This window comes from Homo sapiens, chromosome X (assembly GCF_000001405.40).
Source record: "Homo sapiens chromosome X, GRCh38.p14 Primary Assembly".
In the NCBI taxonomy this organism is placed as follows: Eukaryota; Metazoa; Chordata; class Mammalia; order Primates; family Hominidae; genus Homo; species Homo sapiens.
This window is the reverse complement of record NC_000023.11, coordinates 106,921,024-106,939,229: the sequence shown is the minus strand read 5'-3', so window position 1 is coordinate 106,939,229 and position 18,206 is coordinate 106,921,024. Positions and strand designations below refer to the sequence as shown.

At 46.5% G+C, this 18,206-nt stretch overlaps 1 protein-coding gene across 3 annotated transcripts in view, besides 1 other annotated feature; it reads right to left on the bottom strand.

The window, feature by feature from the left end:
* Positions 5,664 to 6,165: an enhancer, noted in NCBI's record as "H3K4me1 hESC enhancer chrX:106176295-106176796 (GRCh37/hg19 assembly coordinates)". NCBI's record gives its function as "activates a minimal SCP1, AML or CMV promoter by ChIP-STARR-seq in naive H9 embryonic stem cells {active_cell/tissue: H9 hESC(naive)}" and the evidence as "EXISTENCE:reporter gene assay evidence [ECO:0000049][PMID:30033119]".
* The window catches only part of CLDN2 (claudin 2), a 30,698-nt gene continuing 20,860 nt past the window's right edge, over positions 8,369 to 18,206 (bottom strand). For all 3 annotated transcript variants that reach the window (NM_001171092.1, NM_001171095.2, NM_020384.4), the window contains exon 2: positions 8,369 to 11,179. In NM_001171092.1, the coding sequence (NP_001164563.1) occupies positions 10,309 to 11,001 (693 nt within the window). In that variant the 5' untranslated portion in view covers positions 11,002 to 11,179 and the 3' untranslated portion in view covers positions 8,369 to 10,308. The remainder of the gene's footprint in view (positions 11,180 to 18,206) is intronic.

Sequence of the window (18,206 nt, the reverse complement as noted above, 5' to 3'; positions counted from 1 at the left end):
AAGCATTTAGGTTATTACCTAAATAACTTGTTACCTCATGCCTTGATTATCTAAATAAATTCTTAGATGGCCTCCCTTGCCTCCTGTTCTCCCTCCTCGATCCGCCCTACTCAGTGTCACCAAATTTTGTTTTTTAACAACTTCGTCAGGTCATGCCTCTGCTTAAAGACTTGCTAGTGTTCCCAATTGCCCACCGAGTACAATACAAATTCCCTAGGATGGTGCTCAAAGCCCTTTGTGATCTGGCTTCAGTCATCCTTTCTAGAGTCATCTTGAAACATTCCGGATACAAGCCACATTCCATCTAAACTGAACAATTTTCCAGTTTCTGAACATGCTTTTAAGATTTCTCCCATCTCCATCTTTGCAATTTCATTCCCTTTAGCTGCAATGCTTTCCCTCATCATCTTTCCTTTGGCTCAAATGCCAACTTTTTCCTGCAAACTTCTCTGATTAACCCAGCTAGACAAAAAATTTCTCTGTGAACATTTAAGTTTTCAAGGCTTTTATCACAAACATCCTTGTCCTGTCTTCCCTATTAGAAAGCTCTAGATTCAAATATTCAGCTGCCTACTTGACATGTACACTTAACATGCCTCATTAAAAATAAGCAGTGATACACCCTGGGGCTGTTCCCTTTCTCCCAGTTTTCCTCATCTTAGATAATGGCACCTCCACCCATCCAGTTGTTTAAGCTAGAAACCTGGAAGTTATCCCTAATTTTCCTCTTCTCTCACTCCCTACATCCAGTCTGTCAACAAGTCTGTCAGTTCTACTTCCAAAGTGTGTCTTGACTCTCCTCACTTTTACTACAGCTACCTTAGTCCAAACTGCCATGATCTCCCATGGGTTATTATAACTCCTAGCTGGAGTCCTTGCTTCTACTCTTGTTCCTACAGTTGTCTATAGACAGTGATTTTTTTTTTAAAGTAATAGATCATGTGACCCCCCTGCCTGAAGCCCTTAAATGACTTCTCATTGACACTTAGAATAAAATCCAAACTGCTTACAGTATCCTGCAAGGCCCCTGCCTACTTATACTTTGTCTCTTGCAACCCCTCTTCATATACCACTTTCCCCCTGGCTCACTGTAGTCTTCCTATGGACACATGTCGAGCTCTTACTTACCTCAGAGACTTTACCCTGCTATTCCCTCTCCCCAAGCATACTTTACCCATACTGCTCCCTCCGCTAGAATGCTCCCATCTCCAGTGTTAGCATATAGCTGGCTAGTCCCCATCCTTCAGGTCTTGTTGTGTCACTTAATCAGACAGGCATTCCCTGGCAGCCTTTTGTCTCTATCTACCCTATTATGCTATCACTGTTTCCCGTTTTCCTCAATTCATAGCACCTCACAATGTATCATGATATATATGGTCATTTGCTTTCACTCAACAAATATTTATTGAGTACTGACTATGTGCCTTGTGATATACAGTAGTGAACACAATACACATGCTCCCCGTCTGCCTCCCTCACTAGTAAGTTTCATGAGGGGAAGGGCCATGCCTGTTTTTGCCAACCACTGTATCCTAGAGCTTATCCTAGTACCAGGGATCTAGGAGGTAGTTAGTTAATGATGGGAACTGTGTTTTGTTCATGTCTTCATCTCCCTCAGGGGCCTAAAACAGTGCCTTGTTCATAGAAGGGGTTGGATAAATACAGTATGAGTGAGGTAGATGGCAATCCTGTACATTCAAGTTGGAAAATGAAAGACTGAGATAATAAGTGCTATAGGTTATAAGGGACAATTAGCGTGAGCTGCAGTGGCCTAGTATTTCTCTTTAACTGATCTTTGGTATGGGTAGGTAGAAAGGCTACCAAAGGAGAACAGGAATGTGGGTACTCTTTACTACAAACATTCTGAATCTTATCAAAAGAGGCTCCCTGGCATGCAATTTTTAAATACTGAGAACTATAAAACATAACCAGGAGATGTCTGTAGAGACCAGATCTTGAGAATGAGAACTAAAAGGAGAAAGAAAACATTCTGAGGAGGCGTCTGTTCACTTTTTCTGAGTGGTGATAGTTTGTATCAAGAGAAGAAAGGAGCTATCCACAAGGAAAGAACAGACAGAACAAGTTTGTAGGAAACAAGTTCTGGGCACTAGGAGGTCGATACGTGCTTGTTGGATGAACTAATGGGCAGCTTAGGTAGAGGCTTAGACCAGGTACCTTGTGGCCCCAGGGAACAGAAAATTTGCTTGCCCAGGTTTAGTGATTGCAGATTATCTGGGCTAACAATTCAGAGGCAGAGGCTTAATTGCAAGCTCTTCATTCCCAGAGGCAGACTCCAGATAGAATGTCTTTCAGAATTCTGTATATGAATTCAAACCCTTTTCTATAGTTCTGTATTTGGAGTGAAGCTCAGGAATGCCAGGTGTGAGCTCAGGCTAAGTCAAGTGTAATTTCCTTCAAAGAATGACTTACGCTTTGTGAAATGGACATCTCTAACTCATGACTTCTATTAGGCAAAGGGGGGCATTAAGGAACTACACTTTCTGAATCAAAACTTAGAGCACATGTTTGGATAATAAATTAGATAATTGAAAGAAGAGCTGACTTAGTCTTAGTATGTGAAAGCTTTAGTTACCAAGTGAGACATAAATGGCATTCATTTTCTAATAGAAAATAAAATCTTTCAGAAGAAATTTTGTTACTTGCCCCCATCCCTAAGCCCAAAGTTTTGATGTGATTCACCAGAAATTCCCAACCCAATTTTAGATAAAACCGTGCAAATGTTTTGGGTGCTTTCAACATACCAAACACCTTCCATATATCTGTCCATTGTGCCCTCAGGCAGGCAAGATGACTTTAGACAGAGGCTCAGGAAAGTGTTCCAGAAGGTCTGATCTTCCAGATAGGCCCTGGAAACCTGGAAGGATTGGAAAGCTGAAGATGTGTGGGGAGGGTTTTCCAGGTATAGGGAAGAGTAAACAAAGTCATAAGACTGGGTGGGGAGTGAATACAGAAATACCCAAGAGGGTTTGAGAGAGTGGATTATCCAGTGTGAAGCATAAGGAACACAATCAACCAAGGGCTGGGAAATGCCAGCAAGAGGGGCTGTGCTAAACCTGCTTAATGAATTAGGATGAAGTAGCTGTTGAAATCTCTCCAATTGTCCTTAAATTTGGAATGTTAACCACAGTGTGTAGTTACCTTGGATTGACCATTTCTCTAGCAGTGAGACCTGGTTAATCATGGATTTGTTCCAATCCACATGGTCACAGATGTGGATGACAGCCACCATTATCCCTTCCCTCTCCAACTTCTCAGGTCTGCCTTTCCCCTGGCCTCCCACATTTTATGAGTGGAAACCCATCCAAGGTCTTCAAGATATTTGAACTTTGGGGAAGAATCTTGAGAAGTTTTGGCCTGGGAAAGACTATTCCTTTGATAACATGGATTCAGATCTGTGGCAGAAAATACACTTTGTTGTCTGCCCCCATTCCCCAAAGACACATTTTGGTGTGGCTTTGACCCTACCTTTAGGTCACCAATCTACTTATTTATTACCCATTTGTTAGTACCTACTGTATACCATGACCACACTGAGAGGCAGCTCTCATCCACATTTTATAGATGAGGAAACTGAATTGTAGAGAATTGAAGTGGCTTTCCCAAGGCCACCCAGCTAGAGTGCAGAGGCAAAATTCAAACCCAGATTCATCTGACTCCAGAGCCCAAACTCACTGCCTATTACACCATACTGCCTATCTTGAAAATGATTAGTCTTGTCTTCTTCCTTTTAATAGGAAAATGCTAAAGCCAGCCCACACTAACAGGAATTTCCAAGGAAGACAGTTTCACAATCCCACACAATGTTTAACGGCCCTCATGATCAGGAAATTGTTCACTTATATAATGAATATCCCTCCAAACAACGTGGAAATTCATTTCCCCTTGACTGGGTTTTTCACTCACAACTGTCACTTGGCAGCTTTCCTGATATCCAAACAGCTATCGAGATCCTATTCTTACACTGCGGGAGGTCTTGGACTTGCTGGCCTCTGCCCATGGGTGTTCTCACTGGCTGCTTTGAATCCCCCTCTCCAGACAGTGCTGAGTTGGACAAGTCTCTTGGGGAGTGAGAAAGTGACACTTAAGAACATATTGGTTTATTATTACACACAGAGAAGTAAAATTAACCATACAAGGTACCTCCGGAATTGCCAACAGGAGGATGGCACCCCCTTTCTCATCCTGTCTGCCTTTTCCTTGATTTTTTTTTATTATACTTTTAAGTTTTAGGGTACATGTGCACATTGTGCAGGTTAGTTACATATGTATACATGTGCCATGCTGGTGCGCTACACCCACTAACTCGTCATCTAGCATTAGGTATATCTCCCAATGCTATCCCTCCCCCCTCCCCCCACCCCACAACAGTCCCCAGAGTGTGATGTTCCCCTTCCTGTGTCCATGTGATCTCACTGTTCAATTCCCACCTATGAGTGAGAATATGCGGTGTTTGGTTTTTTGTTCTTGTGTAGTTTACTGAGAATGATGATTTCCAATTTCATCCATGTCCCTACAAAGGGACACGTGAAACCCCATCTCTACTAAAAATGAGTTTTTGTTTAACTGGCTTTTCTCCTGAGCAGCCCACACAGAATTTGGTCAAATATCACAGACTCTGAAAACACTGGTGGAGAATAGGAGCTACTACTCAAATGCTGGCTTGTCCACCACACTATTCGCACTCGTTTGGCATCTCATTTCACATCCCATTAACCTCGCTAGTATCTTTTTTTTTTTTTTTTTTGAGACGGAATCTCACTGTCGCCCAGGCTGGAATGCAGTGGCGCGATCTCGGCTCACTGCAGACTCCGTCCCCCGGGTTCACGCCATTCTCCTGCCTCAGCCTCCCGAGTAGCTGGGACTACAGGCGCCCGCCACCTCGCCCGGCTAATTTTTTGTATTTTTAGTAGAGACGGGGTTTCACCGTGTTAGCCAGGATGGTCTCGATCTCCTGACCTCGTGATCCGCCCGCCTCGGCCTCCCAAAGTTCTGGGATTACAGGCATGAGCCACCACGCCCGGCCTAGTATCTTTTTTAAAGCATGTGAGCGTTTTCAGTGTTATCTCCACAAGGTCATGAGAATTTTCAGATGGAAACTTCTTCAAAACTCCTGAGGAGGTGACCTGTGAAGTGGTGAGGCTGCCATTCTGGAGGAATAGGACTTCAGAGAGGACGGGAAAGCAGCAGCTCTCTCCTAAAATGGACCTGATGATGTGCCCTTGCATGGTGGCTTCCTGCTTTATCAAGCTCTAAGACTGCTGCTTGTCTTTGGGGGTGATGAAGCCCAGAGCAGGGAATTTTAGGTGAGAGTTAAGAAATTCCTGAGCTGCAATTCCCAGGAAAGTGGTGGGCTGTGGGGTGGGAGGAAGTGGTCAGATTATAGCCTCTGCATTACTGTGCCTGATAACAGCCTGTTAATATTTTATCAGTGATCACATCACAGCATATAGTGAGCCACCACTTAGGGCAGAAGAGAGAGATAACCTGCTAGACTTCCTGTTTGAGGTTCTTTTCCCTCTTGAGATAACAGAATTTCTCATCAAAGCCGGGAGCCGCTTGAGCAGGGAGACCAGTCTGGGTGAAAGCCAGGCTTCAGCCAGCTGAGGAGAAGCACATGCACTTCCTGGCCTGGGCCTCTGTGTCCCAGAGTGGGCTGCTGCAGGCACGAAAGAATCCCCTGTCCGTGGGCCCAGGGCTGAGTGGGAGGGAACAGAGTTGGCCCTGCAAGGCCTCATCACCTTCCTTTAGCACTAGGCTCTTCTCTTGCCTGTCTCCCTTCTCCCACACCTGCATTTCTCCTCTGGTCCAGAGACAAAAGGCCCCTGGCTACCTGAATGGGCACTGATTGTGCTGCCCCCAGCAAATTCCAAAGTCTTGTGCAAGGGAAGGAGATGAGGGAGCAGAAGCTGAGCCCCAGGGTCACTCCTTCTTTTAGAGTCACATAAGGGTCCTGTGAGGCAAACTCAGAAGGATTCCAGATTAGCTGCACAGCATATCTCTGCTACCTCCTTAGCACCGCCTCTACACCCGATTGCTCAATTTCCCGGAGTCCTTCCATTGCAAGAAGCAGTTTTCATCATGCTTTCCCCAAAAGCTCATGTAGTGCCAGGCCCTCATTTCATATGGATTGGAATTTAAGGGGACTTACAAGACTATTTTTATCAGCCCTTGACCCCTATCTTATATCACTTTTGTCACGTCTTTCACAGGACAGCCCATATGCTGCCTCGTACCACAGTTAGGTGTCCATGTCTTATCTCCTCTAGATGAGCTGTCAGTTCCTACAGGGTACAAACTTTACCTTGTTCACTCTCATCGCCCTCAAAGCCCTTTGCACATTTCCTGACACAGAGTAAGAGTTCAGTGAGTGTGGGCTGGCCAGCAGATAGCTGTTTGAATGGCTGGACAAAGGTCTTTCCGAAAGTTGGAGCTTGCCTTTCCACTAAGAAGCCAGTTTCAGTCCTTCTTCGCCCATTAATGATCACATAGCAGTGGGTCACTAGGGCTCCAAGGGGAAGAAAATATGAGTCATGTTACTATCAGAGGAATGAGAGAGGACAGAAACATCTCTCCTTGTGCAAGGGTCAGAGCCATGGGGCTGGAGCATAAACATAGTGGCCTTCACTATCCCCTAGCTCTGTGGCTAATCTAAATTACTTTATGAGGGAAGGCAATGGGGTGAGCTGAAAAGTGTTTGCCCTGGACCCAGGAGCCGGGAATATTTCTAGGAAACTACTTAGAGCAAAGCCTTTCTTGCTCAACCAGCTGGAGGGAACAGTTGCTCTTTGTTAGGTCTTCCCTGGCTTTTCTAGTTGAGGATGAACTTCTGACTCCTTCCACTGAAACTTCCCAGATTAACAAAGGTAGGAGGACCCCTCAGGCCAGCCTCCTTCTAAGATGAAGGGAAGCTCTGTGCTCTATATCCAACAAAGGCCCTTGTATTCCAGTGGCAGACAGGGACACGAAGCCTGCAAGAGTCTGAAGAGCAATACGTCCTCATACACCTTCTGAGACCAGAATGCTGGGCTCACGTTGCTGTGAGAAGTTTCTAAGCTTATGTTCAAACTCTGACACTGTGACCTGAGTGATATTACTCACATCTCTGGGCCTCCATTTTGTCTCTTGTAAAAGACCCACTTCACTGGAGTATGTGGAGAATGCAGTGAAATCAGTGGATCTGCAAGTGCTTTAGCAGCCAGATGGTGGCTCATCAGAGCCCATACCAGACTGCTGCCCACTCAGCATAGCAGAGCCAGCAAGGTGGTTTTATCTTCCAACCTCCAGTGGCCCCCAATCAAGGGCTCTGGGGTTCCTGGTGCCAGACCAGAGACATGACTTCTTGTTAAGCTTTTATCCAGGGAGCTTCTCTCTCTCCCCTTATCCCTGCCTGCTGCCATTCCCTCTAAATGGACTTGGATGCTGATGTTCTAGCCTCTGCACCAAAGAAGGCTCACTTCAGAAGTGCAAGGGTAGTGTCTGATACAACAGGCTATGTGGTGGGGCCCTCTAGATCCAGGGGCTGGTTAAGCTGAATCAGGTAGGGCCCCATTATTGTCAGTATTGCCACAGTGAACACCCTTATGAATGGGGCTTTGTTAATTCCTAGTGAGTGTAGAACAGGGCCAAATCATTGGCCTCCCAAACTGCCACACCTTCAGAGTTAGGGGAATTGGAACTGAGGTATTGTGTTTTACTCAATGTAAGCCCGGCATCCCCCTGGTAGAGCAGCTAGCTGGGCCCAGGCTGGCCAGCATAGCAGGAGAGGGCAGTTCCAGGTGGTACACTTGATGATTTCCCAGATTGCCCTCATGGGCGACCAGGAGAGCCTGTGTGCCCTCCTTGTTACCTGGCTGGCTGTGAGTTATTTTCCTCAGGTAGCTTGGGGACCTCTGGAAGGCTCTTCTATTGGCTGTGAATAGTGTGGGATTAGCAGGGTCCTATTTTGGGAGTCAGGAGACTGAGGGAACTAACACTATCTTTGTGTCCCTGGGAAAATCTATTTACTTGTGTGGGCTTTAGTTTCCCCATCTGCCAAATGCAGATGATCAGATCCATTTTACCTTCCTCATGATAGTGGTTCAGAGAATGGAAGGAATAAATACATCATCGTTTAGTAAATAACTGAAAACAATTGTTATGAAAAGGAAAGAGCCCTGGGCAAGTTGAAGAGGTTGGAGTTGCCTTGGGGAGGAGATTGTCATGCTTTCTAATTATTTCTAGTAAGGTCTAGAATTGTCTATCTACCCTGTGGAAAGAAATGCCAGTTTCCACCCTCCCCTCCCCTTAGCCGAAATCCCTCGAGTTTCACTTGCCCGTTCTGGGCCCCTTTTAATCAGTAACACAGTTACTCAATCAACAAGTGTTTATTGATCACCTACTGTGTGCCTGGCACTGTTACAGATAGTCTGGGGGATACAGAGAGGTCTAGGATATGGCCCCCACCCACCGAAGGGTTTACAATATACTTGTGAGATCGGACACACACACACAAATAACGATCAATCAAAAATTGTGAATGCTAAGCATCAAGAAGCAATTTATACATTGAGGGTTGGGGGAGGGAGGGGTAGGAGAGGGATGGAGTGATCAGAGAAGGCTCAATGAAGGAGGTGACGCTGAGGAAGTTCTCCAAGCCTGAGGAGGACTTGGCTAAGGGGAGACGGCCTTCCAGGTTGGGAGAGCAGCTGGAACATGGCAAGAAGGTGGACATGTGAAAGGCATGTTACAGACAACAGATGGGCCCTCTCTGCTGACAATGAGGTTCGAGGAGGTGTGCTGGAATTTTTCAGAAGCCAGTCATGCCTAGACTGGTGAGGGAAAATACCTTTGGTGTATGACCCCTCACTCCCACTCCAGGGTAAAGGGAACATTTTCGGACCTTAGAGGTGGAACTGTCTTCCTGGGAACCATTCTCCACTCCCACCTCAGCTGCAATCCCAGGCAGCAGTGCAGCTATCACTCAGATCATGGACACAGCACCGTGGGCATGGATATGCCATGCTGGAGCCCTTAGATGCCCTCTAGCCACTCTGGAGCATCTTCCGATGGACAGTGGGGGAATCTGAAGGGGCTCGCTTGGTGCTATGGTCTTTCAGAGGCTCTGTAGTGCTCTGTGGGTGGACCCTGGGGGGGCCTGATCTCATTTGAGCTGATTTTCCATTACGCCTGAAGAGTTTCTAGGGGGCTGCCTCTCACTGGCAGAGTAGAAACACCCACTGGAGCCACCACACACATCCACCTGGCTTCTTAGACACCGTCAAGGAATGGTGTCTTCCTCAGTACCCCACAGCTCCCACACTGTCATCCCCCAGCCAAGGGCCATCCCTAGAAAAACTGGTTTACTGTTCCTAAGGAAACCATTGTCTATAGCCCTTAGCCTTGTGGTTTAGGCAAGAGGCCAGGTCAGGTGCCCTAGAGTGAGGCAGGGGCTTCAGCCAAAGTTGTGATCGCAGCTTCTGAGGCAGTTCCTCAGTGGAGTCAGAGTCCGCTGCCACCTGAGCTTTCCACCAGATCTTCTTTCCTTTCCTTGTGCTTTCCTCAAGCTGCAGGCTTGATCCCAGCCCACAAATATGAGAGAATTCTGGAAAGTGCCCTGAGAAATGGGTTCTGGGTTTTTTTTTCATTTTTATTTTTTTAAATGTCCCAGGCTGCCTTCCTGTCCTCCCATCCTGCATCCTGCTTTCTGTTCCCTGGATACCGTAGGATGGTTTTATTTCAGTTCATGCACAAATTAGTCTGGACACTGTGGAGTCATAACAAGAGTGGGATGGAGGTTCCAGGGCCAATCAGTTTCTTTGGAGGGAAGCTTGAGAAGTAGGTTAGAGCAATGCCCACAAAAGCCACTGCTTCTCCTTCCCATCCCCAGCAATGAGCTAAGAGCCAACCTCAGCCAGAGAGAGGGTCTTTGATCACAGAGGGTCAGTCAGTGGGATGTGATTAGTGGGTTTGGGGATGGAGTCCCAGGTAAACCAGAGGGCAAAGGGATCCTCTGAGTCCTGGCTTAAGGGAATGGGGTTTCAAGTTGAGGGTTGGGGACTTAGGGCAGGGGAGCAGCAAGGTGAGGAAAACAGAAAGGCTGGCATGGCGAGCATCCTTGGCAATTCAACCTGCATGCTGTTACACTAGCCCCCATTTCTGCCTTTGCTCAATCCAATGGCCAAAGTCAGTCTATCCTCAGCAGCACCTTCTGACACGATCCAGTGGTAGTGTCCCTCACCTGTGGCCCTCGGGGTGCTGTCCACTGTTTTTCACAGACCCAGCCACCCCCCAGCTCTGGCCCCTGGTTCTTCACACATACCCTGTCAGGCTGTAGGAATTGAACTCACTCTTGACTTTGGGAGGTTGACCAGGCCTTGGAGAGCTCCTTGTGGCAAGAGGTTGGGCTTGGTAGGCATCGTAGTAGTTGGAGCGATTTCTCTGGGATGAGCAGGAAAAGCAGAGGATGATTCCAGCTATCAGGGAGAACAGGGAAGAAATAATGCCCAAGTAAAGAGCCTCTCCAATCTCAAATTTCATGCTGTCAGGCACCAGTGGTGAGTAGAAGTCCCGTAGGATCCCATGAAGATTCCAGGCAACAGGAATGAATCCCAGGAGGCCTCCAAGGATGAAAAAGACTCCACCTGCTACCGCCACTCTGTCTTTGGCTCGGGATTCCTGGCAGAAGACTGTGCATCTCATGCCCACCACAGAGATAATGCAGGCCAGGGAGGAGATTGCACTGGATGTCACCATCATGGCCTGGGCAGCCTGGATGTCAGCGGGCAGGCCCAGAAGGGTGCTATAGATGTCACACTGGGTGATGCCTGTGCTGTGTGTGGCACATTCCATCCAGAGGCCCTTGGAGAAGCCAACTGCTGTCACAATGCTGGCACCGACATAAGAACTTGTTTTCCAGCTGGGGAGCAGCATGGCAACCAGTGTGCCCAAAAGCCCCAGAAGGCCTAGGATGTAGCCCACAAGTTGGAGGCCAAGAGAGGCCATGGCAGACCTCTCAGTAGAAGCGTCTTCAGGGACTGCTCCCTTGTCTTCAGGCTGAAGCTCTTGCTCCTTGAACACCTCTAATCCCTCATTTCAGAGTCTCTCTGCCAGGCTGACTTCTCTCCTCCTTACAAGTGTCTGTGGGTGGCCACAAGCAGCCTCAAGAAGGCATCTAGAAGACCTAAAAAAAATCCATAAACCAGATTAAATATTGACCAGAAGCTTATGAGAAACCAGAAAACGCTGGATGCCTTTTGACCTTTGTTATCTTTAGAAATAACACATGAGAAAGGAAAAAAAAAACAACTTTGAACGTGGAGCCAAAATGTCATCGCCTCCTGCGTAGGCACATGCCTTAGGTTGGCAGCTGGACAAAGCCAGGAGCCAGACAGGTGGCTGCTTTCCGGGAAGGTGATGATGGCAGTGGTGGTTGTGGTGGCTGTGTTAACTCAAGTGCTAGTCTCCAAGGCCTGCTGTTTAATACATTGCCAAGCAACAGTGCCATAGGGCCCCTCAATTGCAGACTGAGGCCAAACTGCAGACTACATCAGGAGGAACAGATCCTAGAATGTAGTCTTGGACTCCAGTTTGTTAGAGGCCTCTTGAATCTCCAGGGGCCTAGAGAGTAGTGGCCTAGCCCTGGATCATTCTGCCCATGGTGAAAATCTACTCCAGGGTAGATGGGGGTGGGCAGCAAAGCCTTCTGTCCATACTCTGAGAGTTCAGATCCTCCCAGCCATGCCCAAATCCCCCTCTGCAGCCTAGTCTAAGGCCTCCTGCATGTATAACATGCCCAGACATTTCCTGTCCAGTCTCCTAATAGATGCTCCCATCATCAGCCTCTTGGATGATGAGGGAGCACTCTGGAACAAGGGTTCCAGGACTGAGAGGGGGCCCTGAAATTCCCTGGGCCATCTGTTAGGGGGGACAAGAGTCTGCCACAGAGGAAAGGGAAACTGCTCTAGAATATAGGGCTTTGCATGAGGCAGGTATCTGAGTCAATGCTTTGGAATCTCAGAGCCATATAAGATTTTGCCGTGTTCAAGGAGCCCTCGGTGTTGCCAAGATTCAGGACACTAAGGGTCAAGGGCACACCTCCCCATTCTCTACAAGACCCTCTGATCCACTAATTTTTCTTTCTTTCTTTTTGAGACAGGTTCTCACTTTGGCACCCAGGCTGGAGTGCAGTGGCATGATCTCGGCTCATTGCAGCCTCGACCTCCTGGGCTCAAGTGATCCTCCTGCCTCAGCCCCACAAGTAGCTGGGACTACAGGAGCGCATCACCACACCTGGCTAGTTTGTGTGTGTGTGTGTGTGTGTGTGTGTGTGTGTGTGTGTGATCCTCCTGCCTCAGCCCCACAAGTAGCTGGGACTACAGGAGCGCATCACCACACCTGGCTAGTTGTGTGTGTGTGTGTGTGTGTGTGTGTGTGTGTGTGTGTGATCCTCCTGCCTCAGCCCCACAAGTAGCTGGGACTACAGGAGCGCATCACCACACCTGGCTAGTTGTGTGTGTGTGTGTGTATTTTTTGTAGAGACCAGGTTTTGCCATGTTGCCCACACTGGTCTTGAACTCCTAAGCTCAAGTGATCCACCTGCCTCAGCCTCCCAAAGTGCTAGGATTACAGGCATGAGCCACCGTGCCCGAACTAACCCACTAATTTTTCAACCCACCACAATCTGGCTATTCCATTTTAGCCTTCTTCAAGATTTCTCTTTCCCTACTCATCTCTTAAATGTGAGTATTCCTCAGAAGTCCATCCTTTTCTCAATTAACACTCTGTCCCTGAGCAAACTCATCTTGCCCCCATAACTTAATCTACTACCCATCCACTGACCCTCCCAAATCTGAATTTCCAGGATAGACCCTTCTGAGCTTCAAGACTGGCAGAGCAATCACCTAGTCAGAATCTCCACAGGGAAATCTCATAGACATCTCGAATTTGACATGTCCAAAAGTGAACTCATCACATCCCCCATGCAGCTTTCCCCAAACAGTTCTTCCCTGTGTTCCCTGTGTTCACTGAATGATACCTCTATCCATCCACTTGTGCCAGACCAAAATCCGGAAAGTGATCTTTAGCACCTTTCTTCTACTTACCTCCTGCATCCTATAGTCCCTATGTCCCACCAGTTCTACCTTATGAATATACCTCAAATCCATGGTTCCTTTCTCTCCATTTCCACTGCTACTTCCCTAGTTCAGTTTCACCATTCTTTTTTTGAGACCGAATTTTGCTTTTGTTGCCCAGCCTGGAGTGGGGTGGCGTGATCTTAGCTCACTGCAATCTCCACCTCCCAGGTTCAAGTGATTCTTGTGCCTCAGCTTCCTGAGTAGCTGGGACTACAGGTGCACGCCACCACGCCCAGCTAATTTTGTATTTTTAGTAGAGACAGGGTTTTGCCATGCTGGCCAGGCTGATCTCCAACTCCTGACTGCAAGTGATCCGCCCACCTCAGCCTCCCAAAATGCTGGGATTACAGGTGTGAGCCACCATGCACGACCTCATCATTCTCTTTCACCTGGATTATAGCAACAGCTTTCTAACTTGTCTTTCTCCCAATTCATTCTCCACATCATTGCCAAGGTGATCTTTCAACACATTAATCTGATCGAGTCACTACTCTACATAAAGCATTCCAGTGGCTCCCCATTTGCTAAAAAGTAAAGTCCAAACTTGCTTGGTTTACCCCATGACCTCTCAAGCTTCATCTCTTGCCATTTCCCTCCTCATAGTCTGTACTATTGTGGAATTAAATTACTTCCAGTTCTTCAATCATGCCATGTGGTCTTTTGCTCCCAAATAGAAATAGAACAGAATATTCTATGCAGAGTGTTATGTATTCTTCTTCCTCTGTTTAGTGCCTTCTCATCTTTTAGGATTCAGCACAGATGTCTCTTACTCTAGCCTGGGTCAAGTACCCCTCCTGTCTATTCTTACAGTATCTTGTGTTTACTTCCATCATAGTAATAATAATAATAGCAACACTTATGTAGTGTTTCTTATGGGACCATTATAAGCACTTTTTACATGCTAACTTATTTAGTCGTCACAGGTTTTTTTGTGGTAGGCACTAATAATCCCTATTGTATAGATGAAGAAACTGAGGCAGAGATAGTACATTTTGCATTATGTTGCAATTTCCTGTTTAAACCCTCATTCTTCCCTATTAGCCTGTGAGCTACTTGAGGGCAAGACTATATCTTATGTATCTCTGTATCTCATGTGCCTTACATACTGCTTTATCCAGAGCAGCAATTCAAAAACTGTCTTCTTAATAAATGAATGAAGTTGGCAAAGAGGTTTGAGGGGCTCCATATGACTAAAATATAGGGACTTTCCAAATGAGTCAATAACGCTTCAGTGTAAGGGTCATTGAAGTGCTGCCCAACGTTGGGAAAGAAGAAAGAGAGAGATGGGGGATCAGAGGAAGAAAGAGGTAAGGGGGGAGAGAGAGACAGCAGAGCTTCACTATGTATATATATAATGTATATTATATATATTTATAATATATATGCATTTGTGGAATATTTTGTCTCCTCAACCAAATTCTAAACAATTTAAGGGTGAAAAAATATATATTAAATGTCTATCATGCTTCCACAGCATTGGGCACATGATTGATAGTCAATACGATTCATCAGCATTGGAAACACCAATGCCAGTGTTGATGCAAAGCAGTGCAGAGCAGGAGCCGATAAACATTTGATGAAGGGAGAGAAACATAGTTTGAATCTCACCTCTGTCACTCATTAGCAAGTCTTTCTTGACATTGGTTTCTTATTGCTAACCTTGGCACAATTGTACCTGTCCTGATCATGACTATGTATCTCATTGAGGCCTTCAGTGCTGCTTGGAAATCCTTCTACTTCTCCCTGGTAAGCACCCTTCTGATGACTGCTTCAAACATTTACTACTACTTTTTGAGCTCCCTACTCTACCTCCTCCCTGTGCAGCTATTACTCCTATCTTGATCATTCTCTTTGCAGCCAAGATCCTTAAACAAGCCATTCATTATTGATGTCTCCACTTCTTCACCCTCCCACTCACTGCTCAGCCCTCTGCAGTCTGGCTTCCACCATTAGCCCTCCACTGAAAATATTCTCACCAAAGTTATCAACTCTTTTCTTGATCCAAAATTCAATGATCATATCTCTGTCATCTCACCTTGTCTCTCTCCTTCATAAAACTATCTTCTCCCTTGTTTTCTGTAACACCACTCCATTTTAACTACTTCTCAAAATGATTCTTCTAGTTTTCCCTTATAAGTTCCTCTTCTTCTGCTCACTCTTTAAGTCTAACTATCCATCTCTGCCCCTCTAGCCTCCTCAGGGTTTCATCTCGACTTCTAGATGGCTCTTCTTATCCTTCACATTCTTCATGGGTTATCTCATCCTCTCTGTCTCCATGCCAGTGACTCCTGAATTCATATCTCTGCCACAGATTTCTCTCCTGAACTCAAGATTTGTGTAGTTAACTATTACTTGGAATGGCCCTACCTGAATGTTTTAATGGCCTCAAATTCAACATTTGCAAAGCTGGAATCATCTGCCCTTTTTGCTCCCCATGCCCAAACTGCTCCTCATGCAGTGTTCCTTACCTCAGTGGGGCTGTCACTGAGTTAATAACCCAAGCCAGTCATCCTTGCTTTTTCACCTCTTGTTGACATATAATTAATTATAATGTACCATCAGGTCTGCCTTCAAAAATAGACTGTGAATCCATCTACTTCTTTCTGTCGCCACTGCCCTAAACCATAGTTCAGACTATGCAACCATCGTTTCTTGTCTATTTGAAAATCTCATAGACACCTCAAATTGATCTCTCTAATTCCACTTCTGCCCCAATCCTGCAATAATGAATTACCTACCCAGTAGTCAAAGATCTTTGTAAAGTTGAAATCAAATTGTGACTTTCACCTCACGCTTTGCCATGCTTAAAAATCTTCAGGAGCTCAGCCGGGTGCGGTGGCTTACGCCTATAATCCCAGCACTTTGGGAGGCCGAGGCGGGCAGATCACGAGGTCAGGAGTTTGAGACCAGCCTGGCCAACATAGTGAAACCCCGTCTCTACGAAAAATACAAAAATTAGTTGGGCGTGGTGGCATGTGCCTGTAATCCCAGCTACTAGGGAGGCTGAGGCAGGAGAATCGCTGGAACCGGGAGGTGGAGGTTGCAGTGAGCCGAGATTGTGCCACTGCACTCCAGCCTGAGCGATAGAGCAAAACTTTGTCTCAAAAAAAAAAAAAAAAAAAAATCTTCAGAGCTCTTAAGTATTTCAGGATGAAGTTCAAACTTGCTAGCCCAGGAAACCAAGAAAGCCCTCCATTATTTCACCCCGGCTTTTCTTCACAGCCTCATCTCACACCATTAACCTCCAACCTCATGCTTTATGCTCCTATACATACACATATGATCCAGCCAAACCTAAGCACTTGAATTTCTCTGACTGCCTTTCTCTCTGTCTCCAAGCCCGTAAGCATGCTATTCTACCATCCACCATTTGCTTGGATAATTGCAAATCATCTTTGAGGATGCATCCTTGCCTTGAAACCATCCTTGGGCCCTCCCTGCTCCTCACCCAGGCTGGGTTCAATACTTTTCCTTTCTTCCTCCTATTTGTATCTGAGCTTTCAGTGAGAATTGGTGAGATACCTTGAGGTTTTCAAGGGGAAGACCTACTGCTTCCCAGAGGAGCAGCTCCTGCTTCAGCCTTCCTGGGATGGCAGCTGAAGAGTCAAGCTTGAGTTTCCCAAGGGAATCAACAGTGTCCCCAAGAGGAAAGCCTCTCCCCAGAGCCTGTCCTAAGTAGTAGTAAGTAGGCAAGTGTTTTGGGGTGAGGGAGAGGGCAGAGTCAAGAAAATGCCATTACTGAGGCTTGGAATCTCTAGAGTCTGACTTGGCATAGCAGCATGCCCAGGCAGGAGGAAGAACAAGTTATTGGAGCTTATTCAAGTGATAGAAATGGCCCCATGGAGGGGGGGTTCAGCTTTCCACCAGAGTTAGGAAGACCAGCTAAATGGCGAATGGTTGGGTGGTGAGACAGGCTGGATTCAGCCAGGTTTTTGTTTGTCTGATGAGCAGTAGAGGTGAGGGCAGACAGGGTCCTGGTGTTAGAATCAAAAGATCTAGCTTCTTGTTGTGTCAGTTCTGCCTAGAACCTGCTGAGGAAGTCCTATAGCTTCTCTAGGCCCTAGTTTGTCATCTCCAAGATTTTTAGTCTCAAATAAAGGCATGGGGACAGGAAGCCACTTTGACAAATATAGAAGACTGAAGAGCTGTTATTAGAAGCAGCCAGTTTTAATAGAAGCCTCTCTTTGAGGGATCCTCCTAGAAGTCAAGTACTGGCTGCGTTGGAGGTACAGAGGACTCTAGGCCTTGTCAGCTGAATTTGTCTTCTGGGCATAGGGCCAACATACTCCATGGCCCAAGGACTGGGCAAGAAAGTTTAACTTAGGATCCTTACTTAATCTTCCCTAGTGGGGAGATTGGAGCTGCAGGAGAGGATTAGGAGGGTCAAGATTGACCGCAGCTCCTGACTTAACCCCTTCTCACCTAGGTACTTTCCCTGCTATTCTCCCCATCTCTTGCTCCAAGAGTCTTGTGCATGGTACTCTTTCTTTGGCAGTACCCTCCTAAGACTACATGGGACAGGGCACTTGGGGTTCCCAGGCTCAAGGAAGGAACTGATGTGGCCTTCTGGGGGTGATGATGGCCACCACAGCCCTCTTCTGTCAGTCAGCCTCATTTCTATATCCCTTGATCTCACTGCCCCTCATAAGAATCTGAGACACTTGCCCCCTTCTCTGAAACTCACTTCCAGCTGCCAAGGGCACTAGTAGGTGGCAAAGCCATTCCCTTGAGGCCCTACTTTCTTGAAAGTTTGTCCTTAGAGCAGTTCATCTTTCCTTCTACATCAATTGATTGATGGCAGTTCAGAGAATTGCAACTGGATTGAGAGATTTTCTTATTGTTTGAAAAAGAAGTTGATTTTTGTCCTGATCATCAAAGTAAAGCATTCTCACTTTAGAACACTGGAAAACACAGAAAGGCAGAATTTAGAAAACAAAAATCGCCTACGATCTCCCCGGCCATAAGTGCTGTGAATGTTTTGGTTCCAACTGCATTTTCAAAGAGGGCACTTGAAGAGAGTAATACCTCAGTCGAAAGAAGGAATTTCTAATGACAGACTTGCAGACCAGTGAG